The 22,401-nt window shown below is 49.7% G+C and overlaps 1 protein-coding gene across 2 annotated transcripts in view, besides 1 other annotated feature; it reads right to left on the bottom strand.

The window, feature by feature from the left end:
- Positions 1–5,243: 5,243 nt before the first annotated feature.
- The window catches only part of BDKRB2 (bradykinin receptor B2), a 39,326-nt gene continuing 22,168 nt past the window's right edge, over positions 5,244–22,401 (bottom strand). The window contains exons 2-3 of one of the 2 annotated variants that reach the window (NM_001379692.1): positions 12,227–12,339; positions 5,244–9,005 (exon numbers count right to left, since the gene is read on the bottom strand). In NM_001379692.1, the coding sequence (NP_001366621.1) occupies positions 7,904–9,005; positions 12,227–12,300 (1,176 nt within the window). In that variant the 5' untranslated portion in view covers positions 12,301–12,339 and the 3' untranslated portion in view covers positions 5,244–7,903. The remainder of the gene's footprint in view (positions 9,006–12,226; positions 12,340–22,401) is intronic. The other variant, NM_000623.4, reaches the window with a different exon arrangement.
- Positions 17,881–18,076: a silencer, noted in NCBI's record as "fragment chr14:96697669-96697864 (GRCh37/hg19 assembly coordinates)". NCBI's record gives its function as "represses an EF-1alpha promoter that drives an FKBP-Casp9 reporter gene in an ReSE screen in both phorbol 12-myristate 13-acetate-treated (for megakaryocytic differentiation) and untreated K562 erythroleukemia cells {active_cell/tissue: K562 | K562(+PMA)}" and the evidence as "EXISTENCE:reporter gene assay evidence [ECO:0000049][PMID:32094911]".

Here is a 22,401-nt window from a genome sequence, read left to right as displayed (position 1 = left end):
GACCATTTTCAATTCCACCTTCCAGAGCCTCAGTCTGTAAAGTGGAGCATGTTGTAGAATTTGGTAATCACATGGGATAATGTGGTGATGCAACTGGCCTTTAGTAGGCACCCCACAGTAACTGTTCCTGATTTTATCATTTTACTGTTGCACAAGACGATGGTAGTGTCATTATGAGGAGGGCCCACACACACCGTGCTCTGTCTTGGCCAGAACTGAAGAGAGGAAACAGACACTCATTGCTCGCCGGCTGAGTGGACGGCAAAGGGTGACTCAGCATGAAGGGAGGCATCCAGAGAGTCTCAGAACCCCATCTTTGACCATCTTTCAGGGTTGTCTATAAGTAGCCTCCCACCTGGGTGGGGTTGGTGGCTGGGCTGTCTGGAAGCTGGGAGCTGGGCTCTGAGGCCATTTATTTATTTATTTGAATCCTGGTCTGAGACTCTTTGAATTGGCCTGCCTTTTGGTTCTGGGGAAGGAAGAAAGAATCAGCAGATCCCAGGTCCTAGGTCCGCAAGGATGGGCATTTACACTCAGCACCCGGGGCCCATGATTCACGCTCTGGGGGCTTGGGCTGGCCCGCAATATGGGAAAGGCCTCAGTATCTTCCATTTGAAAAAAATCCTCTACAATTTAGTAAGATGGCATTTGGTATTATTTCTTAGGAAATCTGCACGAACAAGTATCTCTAACCCTAAAAAGACCTGAGAAAAACATCCAGTGTGCCCTCTCATTGTTGAGAGAAGGGGCCTGCAGGTACCTTAATGGGCAACTGGATGGTGAGTATGTGCTCAAAAAGACTAAAATACCTGTATCCATTTGCTCAGGGCTCCATACAAAGTATCAAAACCTAAGTGGCCTAAACAATGAACATTTGTCCTCTCACAGTTCTGGAGGCCAGAAGTCCAAAATCAAGGTGCTGGCAGTGTTGGTTCCTCCTGGAGGGTCTGAAGGAGAAGCCACTCCTTGCTTCTTCCTCCCTTCTGGTGATTCTGGGCAATCCTTCACATTTCTTGGCTTGTGGAAGCATCGCTCCAGTCTCTGCCTCCATCTCTCTCTGTGTCTCTGTGTGTTTTTCTCCTCTTCTTATAAGGACACCAGTTATTGGATTTAAGGGTCACCTTAGTCCAGTACAGGTTGGGGATCCCTTATCCAGAAATGCTTGGGACCAGAAGTTTTTGTGTTTTGCATTTTGAATGTTTTTGGATTTTGGAGTATTTGCAGAATACATACTAGCTGACCATCCTTAATCCAGAAATCCAAAATCTAAAATGTTCCAATAACATGTCCTTTGAGCATCATGTCAGTGCTCAAAAAGTTGTGGATTTGGGGGCATTTGTGATTCCAGATTTTTGGATTAGGAATGCTCAACCTGTGTAACCTCATCTTAATTTAACTACTTCTGCAAAGACCCTATTCCCAAATAAGGTCATATTCTGAAGTTCCATGTGGACATGAGTTGGGGTGGAGGGATACTCTTCAACTCATCACAACATCTTTATCTCACTGAATCTTCACAATACTTGGATCTTCATTTAATAGATGAGAAAAGAGACACTCAGAGAAATTCACTGACCTTCTTCAAATTCCCACAGCTGGGAAGTGGCAGAGGTAAGATGTGAACCAGGAACCTGCCTCCAAGCCCCTGTACTGTTGGTGCTGGGGCCTTCGTAAACTATAGAGGACAGCATCAACATCACATAAGGCAGTCCTTCGAGACCACTGATCTACATGCCAGAAACCTGTTAGAGTCATGACTTATTATCTCTCCACTTGACAGACGAGAAAACTAAGGCCAAAGGTGGTGGGAGGGAAGATGAGTAAAGTGGCTTGCTGAGATCACACAAGTGGCATGGTAGGGAACCCATGGACTGGTCCCCAAAATTCTCCCCCAACAATTAAACATTCTAGCTCAGTGTTAGGAGGTAAAAGGAGCTAGACACAAAAGGCATGTGTTATAGGCTCTACAGAGACAGCATCCTACAACATGTGCCTGGCTTCTTTCACAACAGGTAAATCTAGAGACAGAAAGATTAGTGGTTGCCCAAAGCCATGAGGAAGGGAGAATGGGACGTGACTGTTAATGAATATGCGATTTCTTGGGGGATGATGAAAGTGTTCTGGAATTAGACAGTAGTGATGGTTGCATGAATTGGTTATTAAGTAAAAGCTGAAGTGGGTAAACTCTACGGCATGTGAATTACATCCACCAGCTCTGGGAAGGTGATCTGCAGGAAGCAAGTATGCACAAGGCCTATGAGATGCAAAGCTTTTATTGTGGCAGAAATAGCCCAAGCCCTGGGTCATAAGCTCGTCATGCAAGAAGGCACTTCGAGGACTTTTCCTGTGACAGAATTTGTATCCTCGGTTTGTTAAGGCATGAACACCCCAAGAACAGAGAGAATTTCCAGAGCACCCTCCTTAAGAACTGCATGGCCTTGGAAAGTTACTTCCCTCTCTGGGCCCCAGTTTCCATACCATGAACCAGTGATCATGCAAACTCCCAGAGTGGTTGTGAGCGTGAAGTATTTTGATGGGGTCCCTTTGACCTGGGACTATTTTGCCTCAGCCAGCAAAACAAAATAAAAAACTAAAACCAGAATAAAACTCTCATGAACAAACGATTAAACTTTCAGCCATTGCTGTTGCCAAATCATGACCTCTGTTGCTCATCCCTGCTCCCCACCCTCATCCTTGGTGAAGGATCAGAGCTACATAAGGGTCAGGAATTGGGTAACAAGGAGATAATGCAGCACATGGCTGGGATCTACACAATGGAGACACTCCCCCTCTGAGTCATGAAGGCTGTGCTCAAGAGGCTCCAGCACTAGCATGAATTCCCATGAGGTCATCTGGTGTCCAGTTTGCATCTCTGCATCCTATTCTCACCCCTCTGTGGCCAGGGAAGACTCAGGAGCTAGGCCCCTTGCCTGGTCTCCTGAGCCCACCTGGACTTCTTCTCATTGCGCCAGCTTGCTGGAGCCAGAGAGGGTCAGGAGTTGAGGGGCTGCTCCTGTTGCCTCGCTGGGGAGGCTCTCCCAGCATTTTTTTTTTCTTTTTTTGCCTGCTAAGAGCCCTGCTCAGGTTTCCAGGCATGTGGTTTCCCCTGGATTGCAGACTCCCTTGAGTAATGCAGGCATCTGTGAACAAAATTCCCTGGAGGAGTGAGCTCCCTTGGGCACTTGTGGACAACTTCCTCCAAGTTCAGGGCACTTAGTGAGGGGGTGCAGTCTGGGTGGGAAGAGTGGGCACTGGAGGCAGAATGAAATATCTTCTGGGATCTGTCTAGGTTCTTGTGTCCAAATGGCTGGAGGGTAGAGAATGAGCCTGGAGCAGAGAGAGGGAGACATAGAGACAAGACAGGGACCAGATCATGAAGGGTCTTGCAAGCCATGTTACAGCTGTAGAACCTTATCGCAAGAGGGGTGGGACACTATGGAAGGGTTTCCCTTGGAGGATGCCCCCATCACACTCACTGCCAACACCACCACCATCATCATCATCATCATCATCATCATCATCATCAAAGCTAGTACATGTTCAGTGCCAACTATGTACCAGGCACTGTGCTAGATGCTTTCATACATTAATCCTATTAACAATTTTATGAGGTAGATACCATTATTATCCCCATTTTGCAGACAAGGAAATGTTGACTCAGAAAGGATAACTGAGGTACCCAAGACTACACAGCAAATAAGAGCCCAAGGCTGAACCACAAGTGGAATCCAGGTCTACCTAATCCTAAAGTCTTGGCTCCTGAACACAGTTCTCTATGTTTATAGCCTCCCCATGAATGTATTTGCATTCTTAAAAGACCATGTTGGCTGCAGAGTGAAGAATAAGAATTGGGAGATGGTAGTAGTTAGTATTGGAGGCACCCATGACAGACGATGGTTGGACATAGAAGGAAACATAGATTTAGGAAACACTTAGTGAGTAGAATCTAAAAGAGGTGCTGATCCTATTACTGGGTATATACCCAAAGGAATATAAATCATTCTATCATAAATACACATGCACATGAGTGCTCACTGCAGCACTATTCACAATGGCAAAGGCATGGAGTCAATGTAAGTGCCCATCAATTATAGACTGGATAAAGAAAATGCGGTACATATACAACCATGGAACACTATGCAGCCATAAAAAAGAATGAGATCATGTCCTCTGCGGGGACATGGATGGAGCTGGAGGCCATTATTCTTAGCGAACTAACCCAAGAACAGAAAACCAAATACCACATGTTCTCATTTGTAAGTGGGAGCTAAATGGTGAGAACACATGGACACAAAGAAGGGAACAACAGACACTGAGGTCTAGTGGAGGGTGGGGGTTGGGAGGAGGGAGAGGAGCAGGAAAAATAACTAATGGGTAGTAGGCTTAATGCTTGGGTGATGAAATAATCTGTACAACAAACCACCATGACCCAAGTTTATCTATGTAACAAACCTGCACGTGTACCCCTGAACTCAAAATAAAAGTTAGAAAAAAATAAAAGAGGTGCTGACCCACCAGATGGAACAGATGAAGGAGAGGGTACGTTGAGCGATGAGCCCCAGGTTCCTGGCATGGATGGATGGATGCATGGATGGAGGAGGGGCATTTATGGAGACAGACTAGGCAAGTTTTGTTTAATAAATGAGTGAAGGAATGAATACATGAATAATGAAGGGATCCCAAAGTGGCATGGATAATGAATTCCCCATCACTGGGAGTATGAAACAAGTGGCTTTTCATCAGGATATTGTAGAAGATACTCCTGATTTGAAGGGAAGTCAAGTGGTAGGCACTCAGTAAGTCTATATTGCATGAATAAATGATTGAATCGCTGCTGCGCCTATGATTCTAGGCCTCATGAGGGTCTCACATTCATGTAGTGGGAACTTGGTAATGAGTTATCCCTGCAGAAATGTAAGATGGAAGGAAATATTCAAGCACTGTTAATATTTTTTTTTTTTACATCTTCTTTCTTAAATTTCTACTGGTTGATTATATTTTAGAATGTACATCTTCATACAGATTAATAAGTATACATACTGGGTATGCATAATCAATTCTTTTTTTCCTATAGGAATATACAATCACAAAAGCTTGGAGACCACTGATCTACATGCCAGAAGCCTGTTAACAGATTGAGCAGAAATGAATAGCACCCCTTCCCAAAGGCTTCTGAGTGTGCAAGGCGGTACCCCAGGGACCAAACTCGGGGGTTTCGGGAGTTGTAACAAATGCTAGAGCTATGCAAAAACCTCATCCATTTATTATGCTCTACAGAAAAGACACATGTTTACATGATTTTCTCGTTTGGATGTGAAATGCTTCCTGTTTACAACATAACAGCTCATTGAGTCTTTCACAGGACAGATGTTCTTTATCAGGGCATCTACACCATGCATAGGGCCGCTCTTCTCCCGCAGACTCAGTTGCCCCTCAGACCAGGTGTGGATCCCCACATGGCCATTGCGGCAGAGCTCTGCTCCTAAGAGAGTCTCAGACCATCACGTGCTCTGGTGCTGAATGACTGCCCTGTGTGACAAAACACAGCCTCTTTTTTTTTTTTTCATTCACCATGTGTGGCACAGTTTGACTTCATTCTAATACTAATACTAAATGGTTTTTACTTCTTCTTTCACCTGTTTTCTTCCTCCAGATACTTACTGAGGCAGAGGAGAGTGGGTGGTGGGAAAAAAGAGTGGGTTGGGGGTAAGGAGGGAATCTTTTTTTTGACGCTTTTGCTTTAAAATTCAGAGTTGGATTGGTCAGGATTTATGGGCTCTTTGCCATGTAAATTTTTCTCATTCTCCAGGTTCTAGCCCTCCAGGTTCATTCCCTCCAGGTTCTAGCTTGCCAGGTTCTAGCCTGCCGGGTTCTAGCTCTCCATGTTCTAGCTCTACAGGTTCTAGCCCTTCCAGGTTCTAGCCCTCCAGGTTCTGGCTCTCCAGGTTCTAGCCCTTCTAGGTTCTAACCTGCCAGGTTCTAGCCCTCCAGGTTCTAGCCCTTCTAGGTTCTAGCCCTCCAGGTTCTAGCCCTCCAGGTTCTAGCTCTCCAGATTCCAGCCCTCCAGGTTCTAGCCCTTCTAGGTTCTAGCCCTCCAGGTTCTAGCCCTCCAGGTTCTAGCTCTCCAGATTCCAGCCCTCCAGGTTCTAGCCCTTCTAGGTTCTAGCTCTCCAGGTTCTAGCCCTCCAGGTTCTAGCTCTCCAGATTCTAGCCCTCCAGGTTCTAGCTCTCCAGATTCTAGCCCTCCAGGTTCTAGCCCTCCAGGTTCTAGCTCTCCAGATTCCAGCCCTCCAGGTTCTAGTCCTCCAGCTTCTAGCTCAGGTTTTAGCTTCTCTAGGTTCTAGCCCCTCCAGGTTCTAGCCCTTCTTGGTTCTAGCCTCTCCAGTTCTAGCCCTCCAGGTTCTAGTTCTCCAGGTTCTAGCTCTCCAGGTTCTAGCTCTCCAACCAGCTAATAAATATTCATTTATCAAGTGAATGAGTGCTGCCCTGGCACTGCCGATGGTGAACACCATTGCCATTCCTTTTCACACTCTTCTAGGGCTCATACTGGGCCACCTTCCAATAAACCATTGATTGACAGGAACAATCCCTTGGTTGCTGAGACAGGAACAGTCCCTGAGCAGGCCTGCACTCTCCCCCTTCCCAGGTACCGGCTGGTGGTGGGGGGTCTCAGCACTGTGATCCTCTGGGCAAGACCGATTAGAAATATCTTCCTCTGCCTCATCACAAATCAGACTTTGAAGACATGGCCTTCTCTCCAAATGCTCCTGTGTGTGTGGCGGTTGGGGCCTCAGGGTGGTGGGAATGACAGGTGGAAGGGAGCCAATGAGCACCTACTGTGTGCCAGACACTGGTGCTTCACACCGCCACCGGCTCCCAATACTGATTCTGCTCCACGGAGCTATTTCTAGACCTCAGTGTCTTTTCCTTATAGTAAACATATCCCAGTTACGTCTGCGTAATGATGCCTCACATGTACGTAGCACCCTTTGCTTTTCTAAGTACTTTATACCTGTTACTGCCTTTAACCCTCACAACGACTTCATGTTACAGAAGAGGGAACTGAGGCAGGGACAGATGGTTGTGCAATAGTTATTGGTTGAGCTGGAACCTTGGTCTCCCCCTTCTGCTGTCCATATCACCCACAGCACCCTGCTCGACCGTCTCGTCGAACAGCTTTCTGGTGGTGGCAGTGCCCAGTCGTTCCCACTTGAGTCTTTGAGTTCCTTCAAGATGGAGATGGCTCCTTCTCTTTCTTCCCTCTTGCCTACAGTGCTCAATACTGCATATACAGCAAGTGCTCAATATGTGCTTATTGGATTCTTCTTTGGCACAGACCTCCTTGTCCATCAGTGAGGGGAGCCATAAAATCCTGGTCTCCAGGTTGTTATCAGGGACCCCTCAGGGCTTAACCTTTATTAATGCAAGAAATTGTCCTTCAAAGTTCTAGCTGAATAGATTAAAGAAACCCAGGGCAACAACTCACTTGTGCACTCAGCCATTGCACCAAAGCTGGATGGCAGTTCTCCTGGAGATCTAAGTTGTCTTGCTGGGGCAGGGACGGAGAACACACGGGAGGGAAGCTCAGTCACTCCTCTCCCTGCCCCCAGGCCTCCTCCACTCCTGGGAAGGAGCAGGCTGGCTCAGGTGTGGCAGCAAATAAGAACAGTAATGCTGTTGTGATTTTGGAGTCCTTGGCTGTGCGTGAGTTCACCCCATCCTCACAGCCATGCTCCCTGCAAAATTGGGCAGGGCAGGAATTAGTCTCCGGTGTTTTACCGGAGACATCAACTCATTTCCCAAGGTCGTGCATAGATGTCTCCTTGGCATTCCTGGGCCCATGCTGAAAAGCAACTGTCCCTCAATCCTTACACAAATTCACAGCAGCCCTGCTGGCGTTTGCTCACTGTCTGCTCCCTGCCCAGTCCTGCAGTTTGTGAATCTGGCGTTCCACGGAGATGGAGGTCCGCAGTGTGCCCATGGAGTTCTCCATCTGAATGGGTTCTGACCTGCAGCCCCCTTTCTGGCACACTCCCTGGTACACCTCCCAAGACTTCTTTCGGAAGCGCTTGCCCACGATCACGTACACCAGTGGGTTGAGGCAGCTGTTGCTGTAGGCCATGAAGGAGGCGATCTGTGTGATTACATCGATGATGCGCTCGTCCTGGCAGCTGGAGAGGATGCCGAGGCGATGCAGCGTATCCAGGAAGGTGCTGATCTGGAAGGGCAGCCAGCAGATGATGAATAGCAGCAGCACAACCAGGACTAGCACCGTGGCCCTCCTCTCTGTCTGGATCTCCTTGAACTTCTGCATCTCGTTGTTCCGCAGCACCTGCATGATCTGCATCGTGCAGAAGGTGATGACACTCAGGGGCAGCAGGAAGCCCACGACATTCAGGAGCATGTTGGTGAACACTTCCCAGATGAGGGATGGGTAGCTGATGACACAAGCGGTGACGTTGTGGCCCTCATCGCTGTACTCCTTCATGGTCCGGAACACCAGCATGGGTGAGCTCAGGAGCAGCGTACACCCCCAGATCACCAAGCTGTAGAGCTTGGCCCAGCGCACGCCGCGCATCCGGCCCATGGACATGGTTTTCACCAGGGCCAGGTAGCGGTCGATGCTCACCAGCATCAGGAAACAGATGCTGCTGTACAGGTTCATGGAGATAATGGCATTCACCACGCGGCAGAGCGTCTCCCCAAAGAGCCAGTCGAAGTTGTTGGAGATGGTGATGGCCCAGAAGGGCAGCCCGCAGGCCAGGATCAGGTCTGCTGCGGCCAGGTTCCCCAGGTAGATCTCTGCCACCGTGCAGCTGCTCTTGTGCAGGCAGAAGACGCTGAGGACAAAGATGTTCTCTAGGGTGGCCAGCACGAACAGCACCCAGAGGAAGGGGGGCTGGATGGTGTTGAGCCAGCCCAGCCACTCCACTTGGGGGCATTTGCTCTGGGCAAAGGTCCCGTTAAGAGTGGGCCCTTGCAAGGTGACATTGAGCATGTCGGCGCTGAAAGAAAGTGGAAAAGAGGCTGTTACCCCTCAGGGTCACAAGGGAAGGACAAAAACTGGTCCAGAAGGAGACAGGGGTTAAGGACAACCAGCCAGGGCAAGGAGAAGCCGAGGTGGAGCTCAGGCTGTTTTCTGCAGCCCGCGCTCCAGTGCACCTGACTCCCCTGGGTCTTACAGAGCCCCCTCTGATCCTTGGATCTAAACGGGGGCCTCATGTTCTTCATCTCGAGGCTCCACTGGGATATTTCCTTGGCCAGTATCCACCAACAGCACTAACAATCTCAAGTGTTGGACCCTTGACCTCCTTGAAGCTTCCGTGATGGGAGGATTCACATTCCTTCCTTATCAACCGGGGCCCTCCCAAGGGAGTTGGTCACCTTTGAGCCTCTCAAAGCCGTGTGGTGGGTGAGTTAATTTATTAAAAGAGAAAAATGATATCATTCCAGACCTGGAGATTCCAGTCTGGCTTGGAGACCATGGCCAGCCCATCTGCCTAGTTTCTGTCTTCCTGGACAGTCTGTGGCATCGTATTTCCGTACCTTCTATCAGCAAAGCACTGAAGATGATTGGAGGATACAGATGGCGAGGGAGGGTGGGGACTTTGCAGCCAGATAGTCCTACTGGGTTCACATCCTGGCTGCCTTACTTATAAGCCGTGTGACGCTGGGGAAGTTACTTAACGTCCTTGAACCACAATGACCTCACCTGTAAAATGGGAGTTAAAAAAACTACCTCTCAGGGTTGTGATAGGGATCAGAGACAATGTGCAAAATGCCCCAAGCACTGCACTAGGCTCAATAAACATTAGTAATTAACAATTCTTGCAAACCCATTAAAATAACCAGTGGTAAACTCCAACACCACCGTTTGTTGGTGACCTCATCTTTAACCCACTGGCTCCTCTTTCATTCTTAGGCAAGACTCACAGACCATAGGGCAGGCACCTTTCTAGACTTGTTGCTGTAATTCATCTCTACCTTCAGCAGAGGCGTGGGGCTTGGACAGCCATGAGTTCCACTCCTAGCTGTGTGGTCTTGGGCAAAATGCTTGACCTCTCTGAGCTTCTATTTTGCCTTCTTTGGAGTAGGGTATTGCTCTCATCCTGAATCGCTTTGCATTTCTTTTTTCATGGCTGTTGCAACATTCAAGCTGAAGAGTGGATGCGAAGACACACTGAAAAGTCCAAAGCACAACCCAGAGGGCAGGACTCATTGGGCATTTTCCCAGTGCCCTGTGCTGTGGGTGAGAGAAGGAAAAGGGGCTCTTTCTGGAAGGTCCACTGATAGTCAGGCTCATGGAGGAAGAGCTGAACTACGAGTCACGGGAGAGATACTGATCATCACCTCTGGGATTTCCCAGGAAAAGTCCGTTTGCTTCTAGGAGCAGCTGGCTGGCATCCTGGAGCCAGACTGGGGGACCCACAAATCAATGCTTCTATCCTTTAAATGTTTTTTGAGCGTCTGCTCTGTGCTGAGCTCTGCCCTGAGTGCAAGAACACAAAGAAGACACCACCCGGCCCCTGCCCTGCCTGACTCCTGACAACTGTGGCCCAGAGGGTGGAGGGTGCCCTGGAGGGAGCAGGGGGGTTGTGGGACACAGACTTGGAGAGGGGGCTGGTGGGTAAGGGGTTGGAGGTGACTCTAGAGCTGGGTCTTGAAGGATAAGAAGCATTTTGACGGGACAAGAAGGAGGACAAGTGGACCAGGCAGGGGGAACAGCCTGAGCAGAGGCACAGAACTGGGGAAGCTGTTGGTATGTTCTGGAAAGTGACACTAGATGTTGGACAGGAGAGGTGGGAAGTAGCAAGAGGTTGAGTGAGGGAGTAAGCGTGGTCTTCACTGGGTGCTAAGGAAGTGAGGCTTTGCCCCTGAGTCTTAAGGAACTACAGTGATGGTATAAGAAGTATGCTCTAAAAAGATCCCTGTGGTGTGTGGTGGCTTTCATATGCCCCCCGAATTACTTGATATTCTTCATTTCAAAAGGAGGAATCTGCTTCCTCTTCTCCTGGACGTGGGCTGGACTTCTTACTAATGGTGGCAGGGATGGTGTGTGATTTCTGAGGCTAGGTCATAACATGCTTTGCAGCATCTTTCTTGGCCTTTTGCATTGCTTACTTGGAAGGATGTGAGCCGCCATGTGAGGATACTCAAGCAGCCACATGGGGGGAACCAACTTGCCACCTTGAAAGTGGATCCTCTGGCCCCAGTTACGCTTTTGGTGGCTCCTGGTTTCCTAGCCTTTGAATCTTCCAACCAAGGCCCCAGACATCTTGGAACAGAGATAAGCTGTCTCTACTGGGCTCTGAATTCTTGACCCATGAAAACTTGCAGCCTCCTTTCCAGAGTCCTCTGAAGGTAAGACTTCCCCTGGGTAGTCCCCTTGGTCCAACCCTCAACCCCATTTCTGTAGCTACAGAAAACCCATTTCCTGCATACCCCTGGCTTGGAGAGTCTGTCATCTTTCATGAGCTAACTCACTAGAGACCAAAGTATAGCACCAGATGCTGCTTATTAATTTCTCAGCAAGACAGTAGCCAAGGGGATGGATCCTGGCCCATCCCTGGCTCTGAGAAGCCATCGGATCATCAGAAAGATGCCTGCTGAGTGCGGAATTGGAAACTATAGGTCCAGTGCACTGTGGCCCCAGCTGAGATGGCCATCTGCTCATCTTCATCATAGGCAGCACCTGCAGCAGGGTGGAGAGGTTGGAGTGGACCCCTCAGCCTTGTTTCTTGCAAATGCTGTCCCCAAGAACAGATCTCCCTATCCTCTGCTTCTACTCTGGCTCAGGTCCTCCTCCCCCTCCCCTTAAATTCTCTCTTTAGGGTGTTCTGATCTCCCACCAAATGTCAGCCATGTGTTGGAGATATTTTGTCTCCAAGGCAATCTGGCACATTGCTGTCTGATCCACTGGGTATTTACTTTAATGTTTAACTCTCTTCCCTTCACTTCCAAGTTCATCTGGGATAGATCACATATGACAACCAGGAATGTGCCCTTCTTCTCCCTGAGCCCCTCTTCCTCTAGTTCCGCAGAACATTCCCTCTGCTCCCAACAGGCCTACAGGGACTTGGACACCTGAGAGGTTTTGTCTTTGGGCTTAACATCACTGGTTCCTTCAACTGTTGTCCGGGGCATGAGAGTTGAGCTTTCCAGGGAGTTCTCCAGGGTGTCTGCCCACCTCCCCTAACTAGTGAACTGAGGAATCCCTTTGACTCACCTGAAAGAGGCCGTGGTGGGCACGGAGTCCTCACGAACAGACAGAAACATTGATATCTTCCAGGGAGAGAACATTTGGACTCAGAGTGGGATGTGAGTGAGGCCACACCTGGGCTGAACAGAGAAGAAAAGATGGTTAGATGGCACAGGGGCTGGGGATTGCAAAATACACGCATTCTCCAGCAGGGAGGAGAAATGGAGACTGCTGAGTCCCTGACTCAATGGACGTTTGTGAAGTGCTCCCACACAGCGGTGCTAGGGATACAATGGCTAGGAGCTGACAGTCTACTGGAGAAGCCAGACATTGCTCAGTCACTTAATAACTGCAAACTGACCTGAGTACAGTGAAAAATCAAGCAAAAGGTCCTGTGAGAGCATAGAACATGGGGTCCCAAACGCGCCTGTGAGGGCGAGTGGATTATTGATGAGAACACTGAGGGTGAGCAGAACTAAACAGGGTGGAGGGATGATGGTGCAGGAGGATATCTCAGTCAGGAAGGCGCTTGGTGTGAATATGGATTAGGCCCTGGCTGCTGCTCAGGAAGTCAGGACTGCAGTGGGGGTAGAGTGGAAGCAAGGACCAGTTAGCCCATTAGCTTCGACCTGGGATGATGGAGACTGAGAGACTGGATTCCAGAGGAGTTTAGAGGGTAAACCTGACATGCCTAGTGCTTGATTGGACATGGATGGGGTGAGGACAGGGGCGAGGCAGGTGTCATGGCTTCCATCTCCTGCAAAGGCAGAGATGGGGGGCTGATTTAGAGGAGAAAGGTCATGTGTTTAGACTGGAACTGTTAAAGGCTGGAACTGTTAAAGGGGAGGTTCTTTGGAGAATTCCAGGCAGGTGGGGATGGGGATGGCTGTTGGGTCCAGCAGGGTCTGGAGCTCAGAGGAGGGGTCTGGACTGGAGCACTGTGATGGAGACAGGGTCTCGAGGGACTTTGAACCTAATAAGGGAGACAGACACATCTGAGTATTTCCAGTCCCTCCGGCTGGTTACCAATACAAGGTGCTGTCAAGTTCTCAGCCCAGGGCCTCCTCTGTGCCCCTAGTTGAAAGGGCCTTTTTGCCCAAGGGGCTTCCATTGACGACCCTTGTCTCTACCCCTCTTCAAGTTTCACATCACTCCCATCCAGGGAGGGAGGCATGGGCTCTGTGCTTGCCTCACAGAGGAGGAAACAAGGCGCAGATGGGTGGGGGTGACTTGTCTCAGTCCCATGGCTAGAGGTGGGGCTTAATCCCCCCTCTTTCCCTTCCAGACTTCACACTCTCTCCAGGACACCAAGTGACCCCTGTCTAGGAAGGGTGTGGAAAGCTGTGGTCTATGCATGTGCAAGTGTGTGAGTGCAGGTGTGTGTGTGTGTGTGCATGTGTGGGTATGTGGGTGTGTGTGTGTGCATGAATGTAGCCACGGATCTGCCACATCCCAGCTTTCAGCCACTCTGCAACACCCGGCACCTGGGTTTCCAGAAGCCCAGCTCCCCTAATTCAGTTGGGAGGTGGAGATCAGACAACGGTCAGTTCAGGGAATTCAAACACACTAAAACAAAAAGCTGAGTTGGTAAACAGGAAATGAAGTGGGAGGTAATTAACACCTGGAAAAGGTTTGCAGGAACCCCTAAGCACAGCTGGGATCAGGGTTTGGAACTTGCAAAGGATGCAACGAGCAGCACAGTCCTTCTGATCCTTCAAGGCAGGGAGTTTGCAGAGGGAAAGGAAGACCTAGGAGCTTTCCTCTCTGAGAGGCCCTCCTGGGCTCATAGAAAGAAAATTCAACAGTGGTGAGAGATCATGTGTTTGAAGCGTAATTTTTTTTTTTTTTTTTTTTTTTTTTTGAGACGGAGTCTCTCTCTGTCACCCAGGCTGGAGTACAATGGCGTAATCTTGGCTCACTGCAACCTCTGCCTCCCGGGTTCAAGCGATTCTCCTGTCTCAGCCTCCTGAGTAGCTGGGATCACAGGTGCCTGCCACCATGCCTGGCTAATTTTTGTATTTTTGGTAGAGATGAGGTTTTGCCATGTTGGCCAGGTTGGTCTCGAACTCCTGACCTCAAACAATCCACCCGCCTCGGCCTCCCAAAGTGCTGGGATTACAGATGTGAGCCACTGCACCCGGCTTAAAGCATTCATTTTAAAAAGCATTTAACAAATTATTGACGGTCTATCATTTGCTGGTGATTCAGAGGGGAAGAATGAAGACCAGCCTCCCCTGTCCTCTTGGGGCTCACTCGGGCTGAACTGTCCAGCTGAGAAGCCTCAGCCTGCATGTACAGCTTCCATTTCTACACGACAGTGACCGCCGCACAGATAAGTCAGGTCCTCACAGCTCAGTCATGGGGGACGTGTCCAGCGTTTCCTCGCTGGCCTCCATTATGGGTCTGTTGTGCATCTACCTGGCTGGGTGTCCCCAGATCTGGCCACATCAGCCCAGCTGGATCCTAATTGCTTGCTAGTGGCTGTAAACATTGCTCTCATTTTCAAAACAAAGTTGAGGGCTTTCCCTCTCAACTTTCTCCCGAAGTCCAGAGGGCAGGCGGGTTGAGGAACTGGGAGAATTTGGGAGTCTGAAGTCTACTGAGTTGTTTTCTCCATCTGCTCTAGAGGCGTGCCCTGGGTGAGGATCCCTGTCAGGGAGCTGCTGTGTCCTGCTCCAGGTCACCTCCTGGCTTCTCCTCTGTGGCCCCTGCTTGGGAGCCCTGATGGGTACCACGGAGCTCTTTGCCTTCCGGCTTCTCTTTGGGTTTGGCCAGTGGGAGCCCCAGCAGGAGCCTGAGGGAGGGTGAGAGGGAGGATGGGGTGTTGTTGGCTCCTCTCTTGGGGGCCTTTATGCTGGCCAGACCTGGAGCAGAGTTCACTGCTTTTATCAGGGGCCTGATCGCGAGGGGGGAAGGAGGTAGGGAGGGTGCTGAGGCTTTGCCGTACCAGCCCTGAGGCACCCAGGGTGCTGCCTGCTCTTCGCAGAACCCCAATATGCTGCCTACAGCACTGTAAAGAAACGCTTCATTAACATCCTCTTCCTATTACCCAATTGGAATGTGCCCTCTTTTTTTTACTGAGACCCTGATGAATGCATCCTGGGAATATAAAGTCAGGCGGGGAGGGGGTGCTCCAGGTGGGCCGTTGTCTGTGGGATCTCCATCTCTCTGGACCACAGTTTCCTTGTCTACAGAGCTAGGAGGGTGGACTCATGTGCCTCACAGACACAGATCCTCAGAGCTGGGGACAGGTGATGACTCTGCTCCTGGGTTTTTCCCCTGATTTTTTAAACAGATGCCTTAGAGGGAACATCCAACATTCTGATTCACTCATTCTCTCTCTCCCTCAGAATTCTATCCAAGAAGACTTACTGTAAAAACACTTTCTTCATTTACTCGCACAGACACCGTGGGCCTGGGCTGTTAGAAATCAATTCCACTTGAGCCTTGGAGACAGCCTGTTTTGGTTTCCCAGGAATCCACACCTTAGGGCCTTTGAAGCAGTGGCCTCCACGAAATACATAGTGTCACTGTCTCAAGGGCCAACTGTGCCTCATGTGGGGCCCGCGACCTTGTAGCCAATGATTCAGGGCACGCTACCCCAAAATGTGGCAGCTTCGCATGTTGAATATTTTAAGTGGAAAGAATCCAAGAAACAGCAGGCGCAGAAGGACTATGTGATTGTTCCCTGAAGCAGGACACCAGACTCCACAGCCAGAGGAAAGGGGCACCGTCCACTCCGAGCACTGGGGACACTGAGAGGAGCCCCGACAGGCCTTGCTGTTTCTCCAGTTCTCTGTACTTCGCTCGTGCCCCCTGGTCCCACCACAGCCCCATGATTCTCCACTGTTCATGACATCTAATGGAAACACTCAGGCCGGTCACAGTGGTTCATGCCTGTGACCCCAGCACTTTGGGAGGCTGAGGCAGGCGGATCGCTTGAGCCCAGGAGTGGGAGACCAGCCTGGCCAACACAGCCGAGACTGTGTCTACAAAAAGTACCAAAAAATTAGGTGAGCGTGGTGGCACACACCTGTAGTCCTGGTCCTAACTACCTGGGAGGCTGAGGTGGGAGGATCAGCTGAGCCCGGGGTGATCGAGGCTGCAGTGAGCCGTATCGCACCACTGCACTCCAGCCTGGGCTATAGAGCGAGACTCTGTCTCAAAAAAACAAAAAGGCACTCAGGCTTAATCACTTCATTTCCTTATGAAGGTTCCCATGTCACATTAAACTTACATTAAATTAATTTGTTCACTTTTCTCTTGTTCATCTGTTTTTTGTTTCAGGGCCCCCAACCAAGAACTCGGAAGTGGAGAAGGAAAAGATATTTTTCCTTCGGATGTCAACTTGTGTCCCGTATTTTCTGACTGCACGTTAGAGCTGGGAAGCATTTCCCAGCAAGGGAAGTAGTTTGGCCTGGTAAACAACCTTGAATTGAATAATCTAGTCGTTCCTCCTGATTAGGCCAACAAGAACGTCTCAGCGTGGTGTCCGTGCACTTCAACGCCTTTCTATGTGCGTAATCTCCTTTTTCAACAGACTGAGCAGGTTCAGAGCCTTGGCTGGTCCCCGAATCTACCCAGGCTCTAATAGCATTGTTCACATTCTATTGCTTTTATTTTGTACAGTTATCATCTTTTTTATGATAAGTGATACTCATTTTCCATTTAAATTGGTGACATGAAGTTGCAGTTCAAAAGTAAGTCACTACTAAAGAAATGGTTGTACAGGTGACATGGATGTGGCAAAAACTGTGAACGTGAATGTCAATGGCTAAGTGTGGGAAACACAGCCTGAAAGCCTCTAGCTGGAAACGTGCATTACGGACGGGAAGCCAGCCTGGCGGTTAGGCCGATGGGCTCTGGAAGCTGACTGTGAATTGAGTCCTCCTCTCTAGAGCTCGTTATTTAACCTCATTGCACCTCGTTTTTTTCAACTATACAGTGGGGATTGGTATTTTAAACAGCCCCATCTCCTAGGGTGCTGTGTGGAGTAGACGAGTCCGTGTGTGTCAGATGCATGGAGCACGTGGTCAATGTGTTCGAGAACATAAGCTGTTCTTCCTGCACCAGCCCAGGAGGCCCGTCTGCTTTAGCTACACCAGGGGCTGTGGGGTGTCAGGGATTCCCTTCCACCTGGCCAGATCTCCTGCTCACAGGCCAGCTGAGGTTTCCAGTCATTCATTACACAGCCGGATGGAGAGATGGGGGATTTTGCTGGGACGCCACCAGTCTGTCCATCCAGGAGAGCTCTTGAGACAGCTGGGCTCCATCCTTAGTCAGAGGGCGGCTGTTCTCCCTCTCCCTCTGCATCTCCTATCTCCTCTCAGTGGCAGCTGAGCACATGGTGTGCGTGCATGCGTGCATAAAGTGCATGTGCATCTGTCCCACCATATTCGCTGTACTTGGAGAGGAGGACCCTGCCTTGCTCATCTTCCCACCCTGCATCACGCCTGCAGCTGAGTTTTGCACATCCCAAACTCTTGAACAATATTCGCTCTGTAAATAAGTGAAATCCTTCAGACCACCCAGCAAGTCGATGTCAAGGCCAGAGCTAGAAAGAACCAAGATCTCCTGAATCCTTTCCCTGACACCTCCCCAGAATAAATGTTTTCCTCTAAAAGCTGATTGACGTGGTTACTGAGTCTGGATGCTGTTTTTAGGGCAGTCACGAAGGTAAGCCTCAGGCCACAGCAGGCAGGGGGTGGCGGAAGGGGGTGATGGCGCCTCATAAACCATATGAGCCTCAACAACCAGAGCTGCGTGGCCCTCAGCAGGGTTTCCAAGAGTCCCTTTTCTTTTCTTCCCTGAAAAGAAGGCCAAAGCTGTCTGTAGGGGGAAGACGGGGTTCTGGGAAGTGACCTCCATTCTCAGAACTCCCAAAGAGAATTGAGTCAGAAGATTTGATTCAATCCCAGACATATACATGTAAGTCCTTCCAGCATTTGGACACTTTATGGGCCTGGAATGTTCTGGAAACACTTTCAGTGGGGACATGAGGGAGCCTGGAGAAGCAGAGCCCCTCATCCATCCTGCTTTCTGCAAGGGAGGAGGAGGCCTGCCGGCCTGGCTTTGCTCACCCTTGGATACCCCGGAACTTATTTTATTCTTGGCTTTTTTTCCTGTTCACTGTGGTTAGATTATTCTGCTCAGTGTGTTTTGTTTCTTTCCCCAAACTGGGCTTTTCAGTTTTATTAAATAAGCAATTTCATTTGACATCCTAATACCACTCATTCCCCTTAAAAAAAATAACATCTCTCTCTTTAAAAAAAAAATAAATAAATAAATAACTAGGCTGGGTGCTGTGGCTCACGCCTGTAATCCCAGCACTTTGGGAGGCCAAGGCAGGTGGATCACCTGAGGTCAGAAGTTCAAGACAAGCCTGGCCAACATGGTGAAACCTCACTTCTACAAAAATACAAAAATTAGCTGGGCATGATGGTGGGTGCCTATAATCCCAGCTACTTGGGGGGCTGAGGCAGGAGAATCGCTTGAACCGGGAGGCAGAGGTTGCAGTGAGCTGAGATCCCACCGTTGCACTCCAACCTAGGTGACGGAGCGAGACTCCATCTCAAAAAAAAAAAAAAACTACAGCAAAGAGCATTTAAAACTAATATTAAGCCCCGTCTCTACTAAAAATATAAAAATTAGCTGGGTGTGGTGGCGGGCGCCTATAATCCCAGCTACTTGGGGGGCTGAGGCGGGAGAATCACTTGAACCCAGGAGGCAGAGGTTGCAGTGAGCCGAGATCGCACCGTTGCACTCCAGCCTGGGCGACAGAGCGAGACTCCGTCTCAAAAACATAAAAATAAAAGAATAACTACATGAAAGAGCATTTAAAACTAATGGGAAAATCTCCCAGAGTTCCATCCCTGGGCACAGCTGTTTATGTATGCCACATCCAACTATGTTCTGTCACCGTGGTTTTACATGAAACCTCCTGTCATGGGAATTTATCCGTGTTGCTCCATCATGGCTGTAGTAATGACGCCTTCAAAAAAGGCATTGCATTTGTTTATTTTTGTTTACTAAACCATTCCTTTATTCCAATCCTTTTTAATTTTTTTTTTTTGTTGAGACGGAGTCTCGCTCTGTAGCCCAGGCTGGAGTGCAGTGGCATGATCTCGGCTCACTGCAAGCTCTGCCTCCCGGGTTCACGCCATTCTCCTGCCTCAGCCTCCCGAGTAGTTGGTACTACAGGCGCCCGCCACCACACCTGGCTAATTTTTTTTTTTTGTATTTTTAGAAGAGACAGGGTTTCACCGTGTTAGCCAGGATGGTCTTGATCTCCTGACCTCATGATCCACCTGCCTCGGCCTCCCAAAGTGCTGGGATTACAGGCGTGAGCCACCAATCCTTTTTAATTTAATTTTATTTTCAATTTAATTTAATTTAATTTAATAGTGCCACAGCCACGTTGCTGTACTCCCTGATCTCCAAGGACCTCTTCTACAATCTGCCCTAGGAGCCTTTGCTGGGTCTGCCCCCTGCCCGGGTGCCCTGCCTGATTCTGCTCTGTCACTAACCCTCCGTGGCCGCCTCTAGGTGCTCTGCTGCGGTGAGTCTGTGGGTCCACCTGGCTGGATGACAGGCCCCAGTTATTCCATTTCAAGCTAATCTTGGTGTTGGGGTGAAGCAGTTTGTCTGTGTGGTGACAGCCCACAGCCAGCTGGCTTTCACTAAGGAAGCTTGTCCTCAACTCCCTGCATGGGCCTGAGTCAATCAGTTGAAAGGACTTAGAGCAGATCTGAGGTTTCCTGGAAGAAGAAGAAATTCAGCTTGCGGGCAGGAGCTTCGGTCCAAGGCTGAGTGTTCTGGCATTCCCAAGCGACTTCTGACTTGCCTAGTCATCCCTACAATCACATAAGCCAGTTCCTTGCAATACATCTCTTAATCTGTGTCTCCTATTGGTTCTGTTTCTCTGACTGATATCCCCCTGCAAGCAGAAGGTTCTCTTCCACCTCTACCTGCCTCCTGCTTCTATAACATTTATTATAGGGTATAGCTATAAGAGTTGCTTGTGTTGTTATTTCATTTCTCTGTCAAGTGCCTGACACCTAGTAGGTGTTTAATAAATGGTCGTTGACTGACTGATAGAGGGCAGGGTGTGATCCTTATTTCTCCTCTTCTCCCCAGCAGACATAATTGCTGGGTGGAGGCAAAAGGAAATGGAGCTCACAGTGTGCCCCACCTGTTCCAGCCTCAACACTGCACTGAGTGGCTGATGCATTGCTATTCCCATGTTCCAGATGGGAAAGCAGAGTCAGCGAGGCAACCTGAGACAGTTCAGGTCACCCTGCTCATCAGAGGCAGGGCCAGGATTCAAGCCTGGGTCTGCCTGAGGCCAAGTGTCAAGTCCTTTCTCTGGCTCTGGATTGGCTCCCACCCAGTGAGGTTCTTGGTGCAGGTGATATGGACAGGAGGCAGGGAAATACTGGGTAGAGGAGGACAGCTCTCTGGCAAAAGCCCCACCCACAAGCCTGGGCCCACGGCCCTAAATGAGAACTTCACATTCCTGTTTTCCCACCTGAGTGTTGCTTTTGCCAAAACCACCCTGGCCCACCATGCCCCCCATCCTATACCCATAAAAACCCCAAACTCCACTGGCAGAGGAGCAGAGCAGCATGGCAGAGAAGGAGAGAAGAGAAGAAGTGTCTGAATGTGGAAGAGGCAGCTGGACAGTTGGAGAAGAGTTCAGCCATCTGGAAGAGTACCTTCCCACTCCATCCCCTTTCCAGCTCCCCACCCGACTAAGAGCCACCTCCATCACTCAATAAAACCTCTGCATTCACCATCCTTCAAGTCCGTGTGACCTGATTCTTCCTGGATGCCAGACAAGGACCCAGGTACCAAGAGGGCAGGGTGTAAAAGGCTGTCACCCTCACTCTCCACTGAGTTGGTTAACACTTAGCCATCAGTGAATGGCAACTTCTAAAAGAGCATTAATTGTAACACAACCCTAGACGGTACTGTAGGGCCAGAGCCCAAAAGCGCTTGCCCCGGCCCCAGCACCCACTTGCTTGCATGCTTCCCCTCACACAAGGGATTTGAGCAAGTGAGCCACACCCCTGTCACCGCAAGTCCCAAGAAGGGGTCCAGGGAACTCTCCCTTCTCCCAGGGCAGGCCCCAAGGAATAGTGAGGGATTGAGCAGGTTCACAGGACTGGCTGTCTTGGAGGGGATGCTGTGGCTTATAGCCCTCCAGGGAACAAGCCCTGTGCAGGGGGCAGCTTGGACCTGGGCTCAGCTGGCCACAGGAGTCGGGGGCTGCTGGAAAGTCAGCAGCATAGGTCAGCAAAATTGGCAGCCACCCCGTGTCTCTTCTCTCCCCCAGGGCTCTGATGGGTGTTCCGTCCCTGAGACAATTTGATGACGCAGTTTCCCATCTCCAGAAATCTGTCTCGCAATCTTGCTAGTCACCTTTGATTTGGGGCTTGAGCCGAGTGTGGCCAGCAGGCTACAGAGGAGTAGCCACAGTGTGCACGCATGTGTGTGCATTTGTGTGTGTGTGTGCATGTGTGTGTTTGTGTGCACACGTGTGTTTGTGCACATGTGTGTTTGTGTTGGTGTGTGTATATATGTGTGTGTGTTTGTGTGTGCATGCATGTGTTTGTGTGTGCATGCATGTGTTTGTGCACACATGTGTGTGTTTGTGTGTGCACGTGTGTGTACACGTGTGCGTGCATACATGAATGTTGGAAGAGCATGGGTCAAGTGCCTGGAGATGTCCCCAGGGGGTTGGAACTACACAAGTCTTGTGGTTTCATGACTGAGGCCCACTCCCTATCAGAAGCCCAGCTCCCACTCTTTACCTTGGACAAGTGGCTTAACTCCTCAGGGCCTCAGTTTCTTCATGTGTCAAATGGGGATAATAATAGCACCTACTTTGTGGGGTTAATGTGAGCACAAAGTACATTAATGATTGCAAAGCCCTTAAACAATACTTCACATGCTTCAAACACTCCAGAAATGCCAGTGTTTCCTTTCCCTTTGTGTGACATCCGGTTTCCATCACAATTTTATTGGAGGAAAGACTCCTGGTAGTTAAGAAGAAAATGCCCAACCTCCCCCAGCCTGTCTTTTGCAGAAGGGAAAACTGAGGCCTCGAGAGGTGAAACGATGTCTACAGCCACACGGCAAGGCAATGCCAGCCTGGAGCAAGAGCCCGGGCTTTGCCTGTCTCTTGCTGGAGTGGCTTTTAG

The sequence above is a fragment of the Homo sapiens genome, chromosome 14 (assembly GCF_000001405.40).
Source record: "Homo sapiens chromosome 14, GRCh38.p14 Primary Assembly".
Classification (NCBI taxonomy): Eukaryota; Metazoa; Chordata; class Mammalia; order Primates; family Hominidae; genus Homo; species Homo sapiens.
Note: the sequence above shows the minus strand (reverse complement) of the source record. Positions and strands in the feature narration are given on the sequence as shown.